Genomic DNA, 19,844 nt, shown 5'->3' with positions numbered 1-19,844 from the left:
GATTTCTCATCAGATACTTTATAAGCCAGAAGAGATTGGGGGTCTATTTTGAGCATTTTTAAAGAAAAGACATTCCAACCAAGAAATTTCATAGCCCACCAAACTAAGATTCGTAAGTGAAAAAGAAATAAATATTTTCTAGTCAAGCAAGTGCTAAGGGAATTTGTTACCACTAGATCAGCCTTACAAGAGATTCTTAAAGGAATTCTAAACATGAAAATGAAAGAACATATCAATATTAACGTAATATAACAGGTCTAAATTCCTCATCTAAAAGACATAGAATTGCAAGATGGATTTAAAAACTCCATCTGCTGTATTCAAGAGACCAATCTCGCACATAAGCCACGTAGGCTCAAAGAAAGGGGCTGAAGAAATATCTACCACCCATATGGAAAACAAAAAAGAGTAGGGGTCACTAGTCTTATATCATTAAAAAACACTTAAATCAACAACAATGAAAAAGGACAAAGAAAAGCATTCCATAATGATGAAGAATTTGATTTAACAAGAAAACTTAAGTCACCTACAAATAAATGCACCCAACATTGGAGCCCCCAGATTTGCAACATAACTACATCTAGACCTACAAAAAGAATTAATGACACAGTAATAGCTGAGGGCTTCAATACCTCACTGATAGTGTTAGACAGGTCATTGAGGCAGACAAGTAACAGACAAATTCTGGACTTAAATGTCACATTTGACCAATTGGATCTAATAGATATTTACAGGATACTGCACGCAACAAGCACAGAATATACCTTCTTCTTATCTGCACATGGAACATACTGTAATAATAACCACATACGCAACCATAAAGCAACTCTCAATGATTTTTTTAAAGAGCAAAATTATACCAACCATACTTTTAGAATAAAATAGAATAAAAGCAGAAATCAACACCAAGAATCTCTCCCAAAACCACACAATTACATGGAAATTAAACAACATGCTTCTAACTGACTTTTGGGTAAACAATAAAATTAAGGCAGAAATCAAAAATATCTGTGAAATAAATGAAAACAAAGACACAACATACCACAATCTCTGGGATGCAGCAAAAGCAGCATTAAGAGAAAAGCTTATGCATGAAATGGAGATGTCAAAAAGTTAGAAAAATCTCAAATTAATGATCTATCATAATACCTAGAAGAACGAGAAAAAAAAAAAAAAGAATGAACTAACTCCAAAGCTAGCAGAAGAAAATAAATAACAAAACTTAGAGCAGAACTGAGTGAAATTGAGACCCCAAAATTCATACAAAGAATAATGAAACCTGAAGTCAGTTTTTGGAAAAAATAAACAAGATCAGTAGCTAGATACCCAGATTAACAAAGAAAGAAAGAGAGAAGATCCAAATAACCACAATTAGAAACAACAAAGGTAACAATACTATCAATCCCACAGAAATGCAAAAGATCCTAAGAGAGGATTATGAAAACCTCTATGCACACAAACTGGAAAATCTAGAGAAAATGGATTAATTCCTGGAAATACACGACATCCCAAGAATGAATCAGAAAGAAATCAAAACTTTAAACAAACCAGTACCAAGTTCCGAAAATTGAATCAGTAATAAAAATCCTACCAACCAAAAAAAGCCCCAGTGGAGATTGATTCACAGCCAAATTTTACCAGACAAAAAAGAACTGGTACCAATTCTACTAAAATTATTCCAAAAAATTGAGGAGAACGGTTTCCTCCCAAACCCATTCTATGAAAGCAGCATTATCTTGACACCAAAACCTGGCAAAGATACATCTAAACAACAACAAAAACAAAAACTACAGGCCAATAACCTGATGAAAATGATGAAAATATCCTCAAAAAAGTATTAGCAAACTGAATCCAGCAGCACATCAAAATGTAATTCACCATGATAAAGTAGTCTCCAATCCTGTGATGCAGGTTTGGTCCAACATATGCAAATCAATAATGTGATTCACCACATAAACAGAATTAAAACCAACAATTATGTAATTATATCAATAGATGTGAAAAAATCCTGTGATAAAATTAACTATCCGTTCATGATAAAAACCATTTAGAAGCTAGGCATCAAAGGAAAATATGTAAAAATAAGAGCAACTACGACAAACCAAAGCCAACACCATAATGAATGGGCAAAAGCTGGAAGTATTTCCTTTTGAGAACTGGAACAAGACAGGGATGCCCACTCTTACCACTCCTATTCAACACAGTACTGGAAGTTCTAGCCAGAGCAATCAGGTAAGAGAAATAAATTAAAGGTATCCAAAACAGGTATAGAAGAAATAAGACTATCTCTCTTCACTGATCATTTGACGCTACACCTAAGACACCCTAAAGACTGCCAAAAAGCTCCTAGAACTGATAAGTGACTTCAGTAAACTTCCAGAATACAAAATCAACATACAAAACTTCGTAGCATTTCTATACACCAATAATGTTCAACGTGAAAACCAAATCAAGAAAACAGTCCCATTTACAATAGCCACACCCCCAAAAAATACCTAGGAATACATCTAACAAAGGAGATGAAAGATATCTACCAGGAGAATACAAAACACTGCTAAAAGAAATCATAGATGAGACAAACAAGTGGAAAAATATCCCATGTTCATAGACTGGAAGAATCAGTATTGTTAAGCTTGCCACACTGCCCAAAGCTATCTACAGAGTCAACGCAATTTCTATCAAACAATCAATATCATTGTTCACAAATTAGAAAAAAATAGACTAAAATTCACACAGAACTGAAAAATAACAAAAAAGAGCTTGAATCGCCAAAGCAGTCCTAAGTGGAAAAATAAAAATAAAAAGCTGGAGGCATCACCATCACATTACCTGACTTTAAACTATATCATAAGTCTACAATAACCCAAAACAGCATGGTACTAATACAAAAACAGACACATAGACCAATGAAACAGAACAGAGAACCCAGAAATAATGCTGCACACCTACAGCCATCTGATCTTTGGCAAAGTCAACATAAATAAGCAATGGGGAAATGACTCCCTGTTCAATAAATTGTGCTGCGTTAGCTGGCTAGCCAAATGCAGAAGAATAAAACTTGACCCCTTCCTTACACCATATACAAAATCAACTCAAGAGGGATTAAAGATTTAAATGTAAAACCTAAAATTATAAAAACCTTGGTAGATAACCCAGGAAAACCATTGTGGACATAGGCCTTGGGAAAGAATGTATGACTAAGTACTCAAAAGCAATTGAAACGAAAGCTAAAACAGATAAATTTAACCTAAGCTTCTGGACAGCAAAGGAAACTAACAACAGAGTAAGCAGGCAACCTACAGGAAGAGAGAAAATATTTGTAAACTATGCATCTGATAGAGGTCTACTATCCAGAACCTGTGAAGCACTTAAACAATTTAACAAGCAAAAAACAACCCTGTTAAAAGTGGGCAAAAACATGAAAAGACAATTCTCAAAAGAAAACATACAAGCTACCAACAAACACATGAAAAAAAATGCTCAAAATTACTAATCATCAGAGAAATGCAAATTAAAACCACAATGAGATAACCATCTCACAGCTGTCAGAATGGCTATTACTAAAAAGTAAAAAAAAAAAAAAGGACAGATGCTAGTGAGGCTGCAGAGTAAAAGGAATGCTTATACACTCTTGGTTGGACTGTAAATTAGTTCAGCCACTATGAAAAGCACTTTTGAGATTTCTCAGAGAACTTAAAACAGCCACCATTTGACCCAATAATCTCAACCTTGGGTATACACCCAAAATAAAATAAATCTTCTACCAAAAAAAAATATACTTATATGTTCATCCCAGCACTATTCACGGTAGCAAAGACAGGAAATCAACCTAGATGCCTATCAACAGTGGGTTGGATAAAGAAAATGTGGTACGTATACACCATGGAACACTACATAGCCATGAAAAAATAATAAAATCAAGTCCTTTGCAGCAATATGGATGCAGCTGGAGGCCAAGATCCTAAGCAAATTAAAGCAGAAACAGAAAACCAAATACTACATGTTCTCCCTTGTAACTAGGAGCTAAACATCTGGACATATTGTTCGCAACAATAGACACTGGAGACTATTAGAGAAGAGAGGAAGGGAGGCAGAAAAAGGTTGAAAAACTTACTTGAATATTATACTCACTACCTGGGTGAGGGGATCATTTGTTTCCCAAAGCTCAGCATGACACAACATATCCATCTAACAAACCTACACGTGTCCCCTGAATCTAAACTAAAAATTGAAATTAAAAAAAACCCCAAAGCATTATATTAATTTTATAGTGTCCACATTCTCACATTCACTTCTCCTTTTCCAGTGGCCATAAGTTCATAAAGATTCATAGGCACCTCCAGGGCTATAAATTTTCCTGGTCTAGAAACCCCATAAAACTTCACTTCTAAAGCTCAGGTTCTATGTCTGGTACACAGTAGGAACTCTATGCACATTTGCTTACTGATTGATTAATGATTGACTGATTCTACTTTCCTTTCTCCTTTTCAACATCCTTCAAGGTTCCTGGCAAACATAGTTAGGGTTCGATTAACAAACATAGTTAGGGTTTGGATCCTGTTTATTTCTCTGCAAACTAAGGTAGGGATGGCTGATGTGAATTCTTTTTTTCTTTTCTTTTTTTTTTTTTTTTTTTTTTTGTGGGCAAGCTACTATGTGGCAGTGACTTCACTTCCATGGTCTAAACAAAGGTTCCCTGATGTTGGATACTGTGCTTATTTTAAACTCAAATAGCCATATGAGAATGTGGAGGAAACATATGATTTTAGGGAATGAAGAAACTTCAAAGATCTTTGAGTATGAGGCCACTTAGCCAAATGCCTTAATTTTGTACTGCTAAAACAGAATTTCAGATACTTGGTAATTTATAAAGAAAATAATATATTTTTCACAGTTGTGGAGGCTGGGAGGTCTGATATCAAGGTGCAAGCATCTGGCACAAGTTTTCTATGTCTGTCATCCCATTTCAGAAGGTGAGAGAGAGAATGAGGGGAAATAGAAGGGGATAGGACTTGCCCTATGTTGCACACCCACTCTGGGGATAACAGCATTAATCTATTCATTTTCTCTGCTCTCATAGCTGAATCGCTTCCCATTAGGCCTCACCTCCCAACACTGTTGCATTGGGGATTAATTTTCTAACACATGCTTGAAGACACATGATCAAACCATAGTACCAAGTAAATCAAGAAAGCAAGTGGTTTACTCTCTGCATAAATGTTACACACACACACACACACACACACACACACTCTCCCTCTCTCTCTCTCTCTCTCCATTTCTCTCTCTCTCACACACACACACACACACAATCTCTCTCTCTCTCACACACACACACACACACACACACTCACTCAAAAGATATCCTCAGCTCACCATCCTGTCTATCTTCATGGAAAGTAGCACTAGACAAAATCACCTAGATATTTATTTATTTATTTATTTATTTATGTTTCATACTACTGAAACATAAGATTCAGGCAAATAGTAACTTCTCTGTCTTATTTACTTTTTCATCCCCAGCCCTTATCCACATGCCTGGCAAAACTAGGTTCTTGATAAATATAAATTGAGTAAGTGAATAAGTACAATGGTATAGTCATTCATAATCTCTTAATATACTGGTGTTTATTGGACTGTCTCTGGTGTTATTATCCCTACCTCTACTTTCTTCCCAATTGGACTGAAAATCAAGTTAACAAAAATTGACAACGGAAACTAAGAAATACAAGAATACCAATTTTTAAAGCAACACATTTATATGTAGAAAGATATTTCTCCTCTGATACATTAGTTGCCCAATTCAGACAAAGAAAGTTTGTTTTATGAAAATCAGAGTGACCACAGACTACTCTTACTTCCTCTTTATTTCCATAAGTGCTGAGAGTTTGTCACCAAGAGGTCATTAACAACATATTTTCTCTAAAATAATATAGAAATATAAACTGGACTTAAAAGCACTTTAGGGTTTTCATCAAGCTAAATAAGTAAAGCAGATTATTTCTACCAAATAAAAACATCTAACTACTGAACTTATTTATTGTGAATCTTATTCAGGATATCTTGGAGAAGGAAAACTTAGGTTTCATTTTAACTATAACCAATCAAGGTTTTACCTCATTTTTTGGTAAAATAGTCTTTCCAAATAGTCCAAACATGCTTAGATAATTAGAGGCATTGCTTATTGAGGTTCAAAAATTTTGTGGAAGTGAATTTTCTGATTTTGTTTGGTAATGATGTACACATCCTATTCTAGGTTTTTTTTTTTTTTTTTCCTATCAAGTAACTTAGAGTATGTCCAGCAGCTTTTTCTAGATCATTTTAGCAGTTTACTGGCTTCATCATGTTTATGGGCAGAAATTTTCAAAAGGATCAAATAACTGAATTCCTCTTCTGGTGACAAGAATTGTAAATTGTTTGTATTTAAATGTAATTTTCCGTAAGATTAAGTTTTGTTAAATAATTTGGCCTTTTTAAAAATAGATGTTACAGTGGCATTATTTAGAATTAATATGAACTCAAGTATAGTTTGTATAGATGTAGTATCTATACAGAGAAGAGGGTAACATAATTTTGCTTCTTTTAGCTTCCTAGATAATTTCAAAATTCTATTTTTTTTTTTTTTTACTTATTAAAGGAGCTATCAGGGTCTTTGAGAATAAATTTTTGGTAGTTTTTGCTTATAGAAACAGGGGATGAGAAATCCCAGGAGTCATTTAGGAAAGAGTGAATAGGCGCTACTTTATTTTTATACACAGAGAGCCTGGGCAGCTAATAGGCTTCAGGTGTGAAACCCTGAAGTAAGAAGATCTTTGCTAATTAATAAGATCCTTAGCCTAGTTACAGAAAGGCATTAGAATAACACAGATCCTGAGCTAAGTTGTTTTTAGTTTTATGTTTGAGAATCACCAAAGCCAAGCCAGAGGTGGGGAAGAGCTTAATGTTATCCAAACCACACTGTAATTCCCAGCAGTCCAATACACTCCCTCAGAGATACATTCATTTGTAAATGAAAGAGAAGTCCAGCAGTCTCTGGAAACTGGAAAGGGGGTTTGGCAGAAGAAGCCAGGGATCCAGAGAGAAACACTTATGACTTTGACAAATTAAACAAATTTTCTGACTCTCACATATGCAAAAATGTGGTGACAAGACTTGCCTACAGAGTTATTGTAAGAATTAAATAAGATGCAGGAAAACTCTGACACATAGCTGAAAGCCCATAGAGGACAGTCTCATCCCCCTTTCCTTTGCACAAGGTCTAACTTGGGAGAAAGCAGCAGTTTAGGGATGCAAAGCTTGTACCTCTTCCTCTGGTGCAAAGTCCAGGGCCACCCTAGGAAGCGTCTAGTCACAAGGCCAGCCTTCAGGGCAACAGTGCTTGATTTAATGCTCTACTGTCCCTATATTGAAATCTTTCATACGTTTGAACAAGGAATCCCTCATTTTCATTTTTCACTGGACTCCGCAAATTATGTAGCTGGTCCTGCTTCTCCAGTGCTGGAAGATAAGTGGCTACTGCTTCCTCTCCTGGTTGGGCAGTCCCCAGGCCCCACACACTGCTTTGGAGAGGGACCTTGAGCTGAGAGCTCAAAAATCAACTAGAATTTACCAGTCTTTTCCTGGTAAAACAGACATTATTATCTGAAAATGTTCACTGGTGTGAAACTTTAAGGAAGTAAGTAATAAAGGCAGTAAATGAAGAGTTAGATCTTTCCAGAAACATGACTCTGAAATCTTCAGAAGATTGGTGAATACACTCCTCTACTTAATTTTTTAAATCTTGGTCTGAAGGGTTGAGATAAGTTAGAGACAAATAACTTTTAGTAGAACACCGGTTTTTCAGGGGCTGAAGAATAAATACCCTATAGCAATTACTGTACCATATGCTTAAAATTTACTAAGAAAGTAGATCTTATGTTAAGTGTTCTTACCTTCAAAAATAAGAATATAAATAAAGGGGCTGGGAGGAAACTTTGGAAGATGATGAATATGTTTACGGCTTTGATGGTGGTGATGGTTTCACAGGCATGTACTTATCAAATTGTATACATTAAATAGGTACAGCTTTTTATATGTTAGTCATCTCAACAAAGTGGTTTTAAAAATAAATACTAAAATCAAATGAACAAATTCTCATATTACAATATTTACAGTTTAATGTCATTTATTTATTGGAAACCTAGCAATCTTGCAACCTCACTTATTCAAAATACAATCAGTAGCATAAAAATGGAGTAAAAAGGCCCCTTAACAAATAAAGTCAGTGTGGGAAAACAAAAGCATTAGAGTTTATTGACTTTACTTAAAGGACTTAGCCTCAAGTCAATACTGCTAAAGGACTTTCTGGTTTCCAAACTTTCCGTTGATTAAATATAATAAATTACACCAGGAGAGGCTACTTAAATGGTGCTAGAATCCAGAAGAAGGATAGTTACTAACAGCAAGTGTGGAAATATATACACTAACATGTACATAAACACATATTTACATACACACAGACATGTACATACACACAGACATGTACACACTCACACACATGTCCACTAACATGCCAGTTAAAGTTGCAAAATACTGTTAACATTTACTGCAAGGAAGAACAGTTTCATGCCTCGGTAGTTTTCAAATGTAACATCATTTTCATAGCTGGCATTTGCTATCATCGACACTGGGCCTGCTGTGATTTTATGCCTTTCCCCTGTATGATTTCTAATCCCTGCGTCAGTTGCTTGTAGTAATATTATTGTCTCCATTTTACAGAAAAGAAAATTGAGATTCAAACAAAGGTTAAGTCGTTTGTCCAATATTCCAAGGTAACTAGATGTAAAAGTGCCCAGTGCTGGCTATCTCCCCAAAAGGTCTATTTCTAACCATATTAAAATAAGAGAAACACATTTATCTTCATAATGATAACCCAAGTCATTAAGAGGATGAAAGTATATGCCCCTTATACTCCTTTTTTATTTTAATTTTAATTTTTTAATTATTATTATACTTTAAGTTTTAGGGTACATGTGCACAACGTGCAGGTTTGTTACATATGTATACATGTGCCATGTTGGTGTGCTGCACCCATTAACTCGTCATTTAGCATTAAGTATATCTCCTAAGGCTATCCCTCCCCCCTCCCCCCACCCCTTTAAAGAAAAGATGTTCCTATGGTTTGAATGTGCCCCCTTCCAAATTCAGGTGTTGAAACTCGTAGGCACATCTATGCAAACCTGCCCCCAAAATCCAGGGGGAGCTGAGAGGTCAAAGAAAGAGGCTGGTATATCCAGTTTCTGAGAAATAAGCATTTAACAGGGACATACAAACAAAACATACATTTATGTCTTGAGTGGCAGAGAGACAAGATAGTGGATTCCCATGCCATTATACCTGGGAATCACGTACACCCTTTCCCTGTGGTATAGAAGCCCAGCCGACCTACGGCTTCTATACCACAGGGAAGGGGTATAAGTGATTCAGAAGGGATAAGTAGGACAATTGCTTAAGGGCAAGACTTAGGGTAACATCAAGATCATTTGACCTGAGGACAGGATTTCTCATAAGTAAGTGCACTTACACAAGGAACAATAGATACACTGGAAGTCTTAGAGGCATTCCCAGAACAAGCGTTAATCAGAAGTTAACATAGCAGATTAGCATCAAAGATGGAGTTGCTTTAGCCTTCACAAAACTTAATGACCAATGTGATAGAGATGGGGGTCTTTAAGAATTGATTTGGTCATGAGGGCTCCTCCCCCATGAATGGGATTAAGGTCGTTATAAAAGGCTTCACACAACACTGGGCCCACTTAATCTTCTGCTCTTCTGCCATGTGAGGATACAGCATTCCTGCCCTCCAGAGAATGCAGCAACAAGGTACCACCTTGGAAGCAGAGAGCAGCCCTCAGCAGGCATTGAGTTTGCTAGCACTTTGATCTTGGACTTCCCAGCCTTCAGAACTGTGAGACAGTAAATTTCTGGTCTTTAGAAATTATGCAGTGTCAGATATTTTGTTAAACAGCACAAAATAAACTAAGAGATGAATAACAAATTTTAGAAAGATGATATACCAAATAAATTATCATTTTTTCCTTAATGATACTTGGAATTTTAGCTATTTGAATTAAATTCATAGAATTCACATCTAAAGAGTTTCAGATAAATAACTAATCTGTCATCCTTCTTTGCAGTCCTGTGGCAGAGATAAACCAATAAAAATAAATATGGAGCTAGGTAATATTATGGCACTCAAAATCATCATAAAAATATCCTAATAGTTCTTTCATAGGGAAATTTCTATTTACTTTTTTCTTAATTGTTAATATGAAATATGGGCCGAGATTTATGCACAAAACATTTATTTCAGTGTGATTTAAAATGTAAAAAAAATTTTTTTGAGACGGAGTCTCAATCTGTCACCCAGGCTGGAGTACAGTGGCATGATCTCGGCTCACTGTAACCTCCACCTCCCAGGTTCAAGCAATTCTCCTGTCTCAGCCTCCCAAGTAGCTGGGATTACAGGTGCATACCATCACGCCTGGCTAATTTTTTGTATTTTTAGTAGAGACAGGGTTTCACCATGTTAGCTCAATCTCCTGACCTTGTGATCTGCCCACCTCAGCCTCCCAAAGTGCTGAGATTACAGGCGTGAGCCACTGTGCCCGGCCTGAAGTGAAAAAATTTTTTAGCAAACAAATGCTAGGGAAATAATTGTTATATATATATATATATATATCCATATGACATGTGATATTACATTACATATATTATATGATACTGTGTTGCCATTGGAAAGGTATTGGAAAATGTTTAATATCTTCAAAAACTTACAGAAAATTAAGTATTTATATCCCAAAGTGTACATGCAGTAGAGTAGCTCTTCATGCTGTTTTCCAGGTATTATCAGTTGGCCCACTTTCCACAAAAATTATAGGATCGGTATTATTGGTCTCCTCGTGGTTGAGTTGAGCCATGCTATAGTTCTGGCATTTAACTGCCAATTAAAACTCCTCTAGAACTCTCTTTTTCTCACATAGTACAGCAACTGCCAAATTTGTAATGGTGGTTGCACTGTCAGCTCAGGTCTAAGAATAATTTTTATTAGTAGAATCTACTAAACACATTGTCTTAGTCAGTTCGGGTTTCTATAATGAAACACCATAGACTGAATGGCTTATGAACAACAGAAATGTATTTCTCACAGTACTGGAATTAGGAAATCTGAGATCACAGTGCAGAAGTTCTGGTAAACCTTCTCTTCTAGGTTGCAGAGGGCCAACTTTTTGTGCCCTCACATATTGAACAGAGCAACAGAGCTCTCTGGAGTCTGTTTTATAGGGACAGTAATCCATTCATGAGGGCTGTACCCTCATGATGCAATTGTCTACCAAAAGCCCCACCCCCTACCATTACATTGTGGGTTAGGACTTCAGCATATGAATTTTAGGGGAACAAAAACACTCGATCCATAACACACCTTTGAAATCCTTAATAGAGTTTTGTCTATTCATTAAAAAAAATTAAACAATTGCAATGCACAAAGCATTAAACAAATAGCAGTATATGGCAGTAATTAAATAGATTCCCAGGAAGCTTACATTCTAGTGAAGGAAAACAAAAAATAAATAAATAAATGTATAATATGTCGGATGACTATTAAAGGGTGGAGATGATACTTTCTACTGAAACAGATTGGTTATAATGAATTTACAAGTTATTTATCCTTCTAAATAGATATTATATGCCTAAATACCTGGGTCAATGTTCAATGTTCAACCGAGCCCATAATTGTATGGGCACTACATATCAAATCAAAATGGTGTTTTCATTAATGGAAGGTATCACTCTTATTTTATAATCCAATCTCCATATAGTTCATATGGTGTCAGGACTCAATATCCACTTGTATTTGGGTGCACTCAATTTTATATGCACTTTGCAAGTGTTTACAGCTGACCTGATTAAAATATTGAGAATGTGTATAATCTGTAGGTGATTCCTTTTATACTTGTTGCTGAATTATGTTTCAAAATGTGTGAAAAATTAGTTCTTTAAATTTAGATAACGTTTATATTGGTAGCTAGACATTAATGCTAAACTCTCAAGATAAATATTTTTGTATTACAAGTCTCCATGCCACAATGTGACCCAGTAGGTTAGCCACAAGGGATGCATGCTCCAGCAGCATCCAGGACACTTAACCAACCTCAGAATCATGGCTGCTGCTTCACATCCACATTTTCAATATCACACAAGATTCTCTTGTGGCCAAGCCTAACCTGAAACCATATAGGAAATAAAATTTTAGAAAATGTAGTTCCAACTTAGCTTGTTGATACAGTACTAATATACCACAGACTATTTAAAGCAAAAACAATAACTATGTCATATGATGGTCATACTATGAATAGAGAAAAATATATGATAATAACATGTATCATAAGAGACAGGTAAATAGTAATTACATGTTGCACTGAGAGTAATATAGCACTAATTTGATGTAGAATTTAATACATTTAGGTTGCATATTATAGTGTTTAGAGCAACCAAAAAGGCATACTGAAAAAAAAACCCTATGGTATAACTAAAACAAAAGCAGTAAAATAGACTGTAAACATATTTGATAATTTAACAGAAGGCAGTAAAGGATAGATAAATAAGGACAAGATGAGGTAAACCAAGTCTATCTGTCACTGTATTAAACAGAAATAGACTAAATAGTCTAGCTAAAAGAAAATATTGTCAGATTGTTAAAAAGAAAAAAAACAAGCCCACTTCTATAATTTTAAAAAAGATTCATTGTAAACAGAAAGACGCAGGTAGAAAGTAAACAACAGAAACATGCTAATCAAAAGAAAACCACCGTGGCTTTCTTAATATCAGGCAAAGAAGACACAAAGGGAAGAAATCTGATTAAAGATAGAGATGTTTCATTTTAGAAAGGAATAAATTAAAAAGGAAGACTACAATGTTGAAAATATGTATTGACTAATAATATTTCTTTAAAATGTAAAAATCAACATTTTACAGAAATAAAGACAATAGAAAAAGCTACAAGTGTAGTTGGATATTTTAATTAACTTCTCTTAATAAATGATGGAAGAAGCAGATACAAATCATCAAAGATATAGAAGATTTGAATAGTTGCATTAGCCCACTCAATTTCATTGCTTTTGAGAACGTTATACTCAATAACTACCGAATACACATTCTTCTGAAGTGCACACAAAATGTTTAATAAAACAGGTCATATGTTGGGTTAATATCAAGAAATATAAAAGGCAAATATCAACAAATATCAAAGGATTTTCAATATAAATTGTTTTTTAGTAAGTGGCAATAAAACAGAACTGGAGATCAATAACAGAAAGGTAAAGAGAAGATCCCCACATATTTGCAATTTAAGCTATCAATTTTTAAAAATGTAAACAACCAATAAAAAATGAACAGAGCACTTGAAAATTACCTTTACAAAAGAGCATCTCCAAATAGTAATCACATGAACAAAGTGCTCAACGGCATTACTTATCAGAAAAATACACATTAAAACCCCCACATGCACTAGAATTACTAAAATTAAAGACTGACAATTCCAAGTGTTGTCAAGGTTATGGACCTCTGCTGCATTGCTGGTAGCAGTATAAGATAGTAAAATAGCTATGGAAAACTGGTAGTATTTATAAGAGTAATTTTACTCCTAAATAAGCACCCAAGAGAAGGTCATGTATTTGCTTATAAAAAGACATATACCAGAATGTACCTAGAAGCTTTACTTAAATAACCTAAATTTGAAGCAGTGCAAGTATTCACAAATAACAGAATGTATAAATAAATTTCAGTGTATATAAATGTTCTATTATGCAATTTTAAGAAGAAAATAAAATAAGGCAACATGCAGATAGATGTAATAACTGCATCTTAAAGGCACTATATTGAACAAAAGAAGCCAGATGCAAAAAATTCTATACAATATGCTTTTATATGTACACATTTCAAGAATGAGCATAATGAATGTATGGCAATAGAAGTTAAAATACTGGTTCCTTTAGGGAGGTATTGATATGGAAAGAAGTATAAGGGATCCCTCCTAGGTACTGAAAATATCATATATCTTCATCTTGGGTAGTAAAATGGGTATGTATATACTTAAGTATCTATCCCTTGAGTCAAAAGCTTAAAATTGCTGCACTCTTTCCTGATGTAAATTTTACTTATTACATAAGGAAGAAGTGAAGTAAATATATAAAATATCTGACCATTTGCAACTAGATTTTTTATACATTTCTAATGTCAACTATTTTACAGATGATTGGTTTGCTAACAGAACCCCTTCTGTCCCATCCTATGTGGTTAAGTATCTGTGACTCTCCAAGCACAATAGCATTAGAACAAATGTAACACTTGAGTTGTCTAGCAACCACTTCACCACTATCAACTAAGTGGAAAATGTCCCTGGCAACCAGCACAGTTGTTTTCTTAATGTTACCTTGCTGTGTCTTTAAGGGTAGATTATCATGAGGTAGCCACCTGTTTATATGTAGGAATTCTGTAGCAGAAAATTCACCTTTTGTACTCAGAGCAAGTTACCCATTTAATCAGTCTTCTACTACAGTGTAAGCATACATATATAACAATGTCTATGATAGGAAACCATTTATCAATTTCTGTATTTTATTTCTCATCTCAAATACTTTTGGAAAACCCAAGGTTTACTATCTTAAGGTAAGGGGAGAAGTTTGCCTTTAAAATATTTGTATGTGTTTTTGATAATTATTGAAATAATTGTCAAAAGTAAATCTATTCTAAATTGTTTGCATTGTGCTCTAGTGTGCATAAAAATTGAATAACGTGTATTAATCCTAACTTTTTATTTTTAATCTATTTGCATCCATTAATAGTCTCATTTTTTTAACCACGGGGAGTATAGAACATAATATAGGTACTCTAACCTGAGAGTAACAAATGAATTTTAAAAATTATTAAAACGATTAGTTATTTCAGCTATTTTCTTTCTAAATACGTTAAATCATTTATTTTCTGAGATTTTAAAAAATGTATCAGGCCCATTATACTCTTCTACATAATAACATATTTTTTATTATTTCTAAATCTACATACAAATTTTATACAATTGGATAAAAAAACAAGAAACAAAAAAAGGTTTGAAAAGGAAATATAGGCGTTTCATTTCGCTTAAAACATTTCAAATTAAATTTTCTAATTTTCCACTATATATTGTGGCATTTACAACTACAACATAAAATGACATGCTGATTAGTTTATCTGGGTTTCAGCAAGTGATTGATTTATTAAAATAAAATATAAAATAAAAAGTGAAAGAGGCTTTCTATCAATCCTAAAAAGAAGGTCATTTATTTGGAGGCAGAATTCAACAGGAATTTTGGGAATTATTAGGCCTATAACATGGCTGAGACAGAGTAATATAATCAGGGTTTCAAATCAGGAAAATTCTAGATTTCATTTTCTTCCACTTGGAAAACAGCGCTCAAATCATTGAGAAAGAGAGAGGCAGCAAATATATGAGCAGTCGTAAAGAAAGTTTTTCTGTTCCAACAATACCTAGGGTGGCTTGGCCACCAAGTTTATATAAGGTGTTATTTCCAGAAAAACAGAAGACATACCTGGACAAAGAGAGTAGAAAGCCCAACAGAAATCCAATTCATCTGACTGTTTTTGCTAAATATTCTGCACATTCATTTTCTCTAGTGCAGGTAGAACTAATGTATATCATCTGATGTACCTTTTCACAATTTCATATTTAAATTTATACTAAAAGCATAATATTCACTTGACTATAACAAAATAAAAATGTAACTGAAGTGAAACTAAAGTGATTGAAAATTTTATAATTCTTGGTAAATGATAGTCTTTCTAAAATATTCTTCTGAAACAGGGTCAGTGAAGGAACAGATAGTAATTATTTTTAGCTTTGCAGGCCCCTGACAGTCTCTGTTATAATTATTCAAGTGCTTTATGCATTGTAGTGCCACAGACACAAAGGAATCGGTGTAAATCTGTTTTAACAAAACTTTATTTATGGCCGGGCGTGGTGGCTCACGCCTGTAATCCCAGCACTTTGGCAGGCCGAGGCGGGCAGATCACGAGATCAGGAGATCAAGACCATCCTGGCTAGCACAGTGAAACCTCATCTCTACTAAAAATACAAGAAAAAAAATTAACCGGGCGTGGTAGCGGGCGCCTGTAGTCCTCGGGAGGCTGAGGCAGGAGAATGGCATGAACCCGGGAGGCAGAGCTTGCAGTGAGCCGAGATTGCACCACTGCACTCCAGCCTGGGCGACAGAGCGAGACTCCGTTTCAAAAAAAAAACTTTGTTTATTATAAAAACCTGGTGGTAGAACAGATTTGGTTCATAGGCTGTACTTTTCAACTAACTGCTCTAAAATGAAATATATATATAACACATTATGGGGATTATTGCTTTTGTTTGGTATGTGTTTGCATATGAGTTTTCATATATTTCAATATGAGTCAGTAGCTGTAGACCTCCTATGATAAAAATGGGAAAATTAGTACATTTACACTATTGCCTTTCACTGAAGTCTGATATTTGTCATTTATAATGTTCTACACATCAGCAACATTACAACCTAGACTTATCTTCTTTTTTACTGTCTTTCAGCTTTCCAACCATAAGTCAAGATGCCTTATTTTTGAATTGAAACGGTAAATATCCCCTAAAATACTATTAAAAAACAAATTTGTAAATAAATAAACAAATACAAAGATTGTACTAAACAACTAGCAAGAAAAGTACACACGGCGGGTTTGATTATTTTATAAAGTGATTGGAGGAAAAGAATTTTGGTTTGATTCTTTTTGGGGTTTTTTTGACCTATGAGTTTATATTATATTGGAATCAACTGCCTTATATAAAAACTCTATAATTACTGTCTTTTACTCTCTCCTCCACTGGGAGGAAGACTTTACTACTTCACTAGAAAAATAAAAACACAGATGTTATAAGTGAGATGTTCTTTAGAATTGGACAAATATTTATAATAAATTTGCAAAGAGATTATGAATAAATTGTATGCTATGACTTATCACATATGGGTTTGGCATGTTGAAGAGAGGAATGAATACTCTATGTGGCTGGTGTTTCCCACCCAATTTCCCCTGTTAGCATCAGTGTTCCTTGTCCAGTTTATAGCATCTATCACCTCATAGTGATATCTAATTGATCATTCTCTCTTACAAGTTGCTTTTCTTTCTCAGTCATTTTTTAAACTTTTATTTCAAGTTTAGGGGTACATGTGCAGGTTTGTTACATAGGTAAACTTCTATCATGGGAGTTTATTGTTCAGATATTTCATTACCGAGGTATTAAGCCCAGTACCTGTTAGTTATTTTTCCTGATCCTCTCCCTCCTCCTACCCTCCACCCTCCGATAGACCTCAGTATGTGTTGTTCCCCTCTGTGTGTCCATATGTTCTCATCATTTAATTCTCACTTACAATGGTCTCCACTTCCATCCATGTACCTGCAAAAGACACGATCTCATTCTTTTTGTGGCTGCATTGTACTCCATGGTGTATATGTACCATGTCTTCTTTATCCAGTCTATCATTGATGTGCATTTAGGCTGATTCTATGTCTTTACTATTGTGAATACTGCTGAAATAAAAATATGTGTGCATGTGTCTTTATAATAGAATGATTGATATTCCTCTGGGTATAACCCAGTAAGGGGATTGCTGGGTTAAATGGTATTTCTGTCTTTAGGACTTAGAGGAATTACCACACTGTCTCTCACAATGGTTGAACTAATTTCACTCTCACCAACAGTGTATAAGTGTTCCTTTTTTCTCTGCAACCTCACCGCATCTGTTATTTTTTGACTTTTTAATAACAGCAATTCTGATGAAGATGCCGAAAGCAATTGCAACAAAAGCAAAAATTGACAAATGGGATCTAATTAAACTAAAGAACTTCTGTACAGCAAGAGAAACTATAAACAGACAACCTACAGAAGGGGAGAAAATTTTTGCACACTGTGCATGATAAAAGTCTAATATACAGCATCTATAAGGAACTTAAATAAATGTATAAGAAAAAAACTCCATTTAAAAGTGGACAAAGGATGTGAACAGACATTTTCAAAAGAAAACATACATGTGACCAACGATTCTATGAAAAAAAGCTCAACATCACTGATCTTTCCCGTTCTTGTCTCACTTCCTTGCTCCCCACCAGGCTCGTTTACCTCCTATATCCTGAGGCCAACATTATGCTATTAATTAAAAATTAATTACTTTTAATTGCAAAGCCACAATTACTTTTCGCCAAGCTAATAGTAAGCCCATTTTGCGGGGCAGGAAAACGAAGGTTCGCCATTATAAGCAATAACTGCCTATGAACACAGATATTCCTCTCTGTGGAACCCTTGCTATTGGACATTTTATCTTTCAAAATCTTTTTGTGAAGTTTACTCTTAAGAAGCAACAAAACATGGAGGCCAGCAATATTAAAAATGAATTTTTATTGTGCTAATCCTATGCCAGGTAATTTTCAAGTGTCACCTCGTTTAGCCTTCCCAATAATTCTATGAAGTAAGTGCTATTATTAAACATGTTTAACTAAAAAACTAAGACCCAAAGAAGTTAAATAATTTGGAGTGGTGGTATCAGCACTTGAACCAGCTTGAATTGAAAAGGGCAAGCCTTTAAACCCTTCACTGTGCTACCTCCACTTCCCCAGAAGAGCAGTGCTTTAGAATTAGCTTTTCAAACAAAGTAACTGCTTATTATTTTTGCTGTGCCTCCAATTGAAAGCACCCAACAGAAGCATTGCTAAGAGTTGGTGGATATTTTCTGATGAGTTTTTGGTCTGATAATGATGATGTCAACAATAGTTAAACTAGATCTATGTGTTCCTGTAGTCATGACTTGGCTTCTATCACAACAAATCTTCTTATGATCTAGATAGTATATCTATTACAAAGCTAAGAAAACTGAGGCTTAGATAGTTTAACAGGTTCAAGGTCACACAAATAGTAAGTGGTAGCACACAGACTTAAATCTAGGTTTGCCTGAGTCTGGAGTCAGCAGAATTTTCATGATACTCCATTGCTTCAGCTGTTTACCTATTGCAAGATGTCAGAAAAGGTGTTTTCAAGGGTTGGCTTTAGGGAAGGTTCATTTTTTAGTGAGCTAGATTTCCTTTCCCGACATTCATCCCCATCCTCTTTTCTCCAGCTGTAAGGACCTCACTTAGCTCATCTTTTTTGTAAAATTTTTTGACTAATTTATTATCAACACTCCCTAAAAAGTGAGTGTCTTGTAGGCCTCCTAAGTAGGTGGGATAGTGATGCTGACATGGAAGGGTATACACACTGCCAACAGCCTCATTTTTCTATAAAATCTCCTTCTCTCCAAGACACCCCATGACTAAGTAGTATATTTGTGTGAGAATCTATATATATATATTCTGTGGTGTGTGTGTGTCTGTGTGTATCTATATAGATATATGGATCTATTTAATGTTACCTCATCTAAATTCCAGATGGTCTCTATTCAACCATTCTGCCTATGTAAAAATCATGGTGGCAACTCAGAGGAGGCCTTTTTTACTTTTCACCTTCTACTGTTGCAACTTGGCCACTCTCCTCTCTCTCTTCCCCCACTTCATCCCTTTATTTCTCCTTTCTTTTTTTCTTTTATACACACAGAAACACAACAGCATCTTCAATTCCTACATGCATTTTAAAAATGCTCTTAAAAGATAACATTTCATTCAGTTCACTTATGGGAAAGTATGAAAACCAACAGCTTCATCTCCATAGGGCTATTTGCATTTTGAGCCTCAGCTGCGGCTTGCCG

The sequence above is a fragment of the Homo sapiens genome, chromosome 14, assembly GCF_000001405.40.
Source record: "Homo sapiens chromosome 14, GRCh38.p14 Primary Assembly".
NCBI lineage: Eukaryota > Metazoa > Chordata > Mammalia > Primates > Hominidae > Homo > Homo sapiens.
This window is presented reverse-complemented; position numbering follows the sequence as displayed.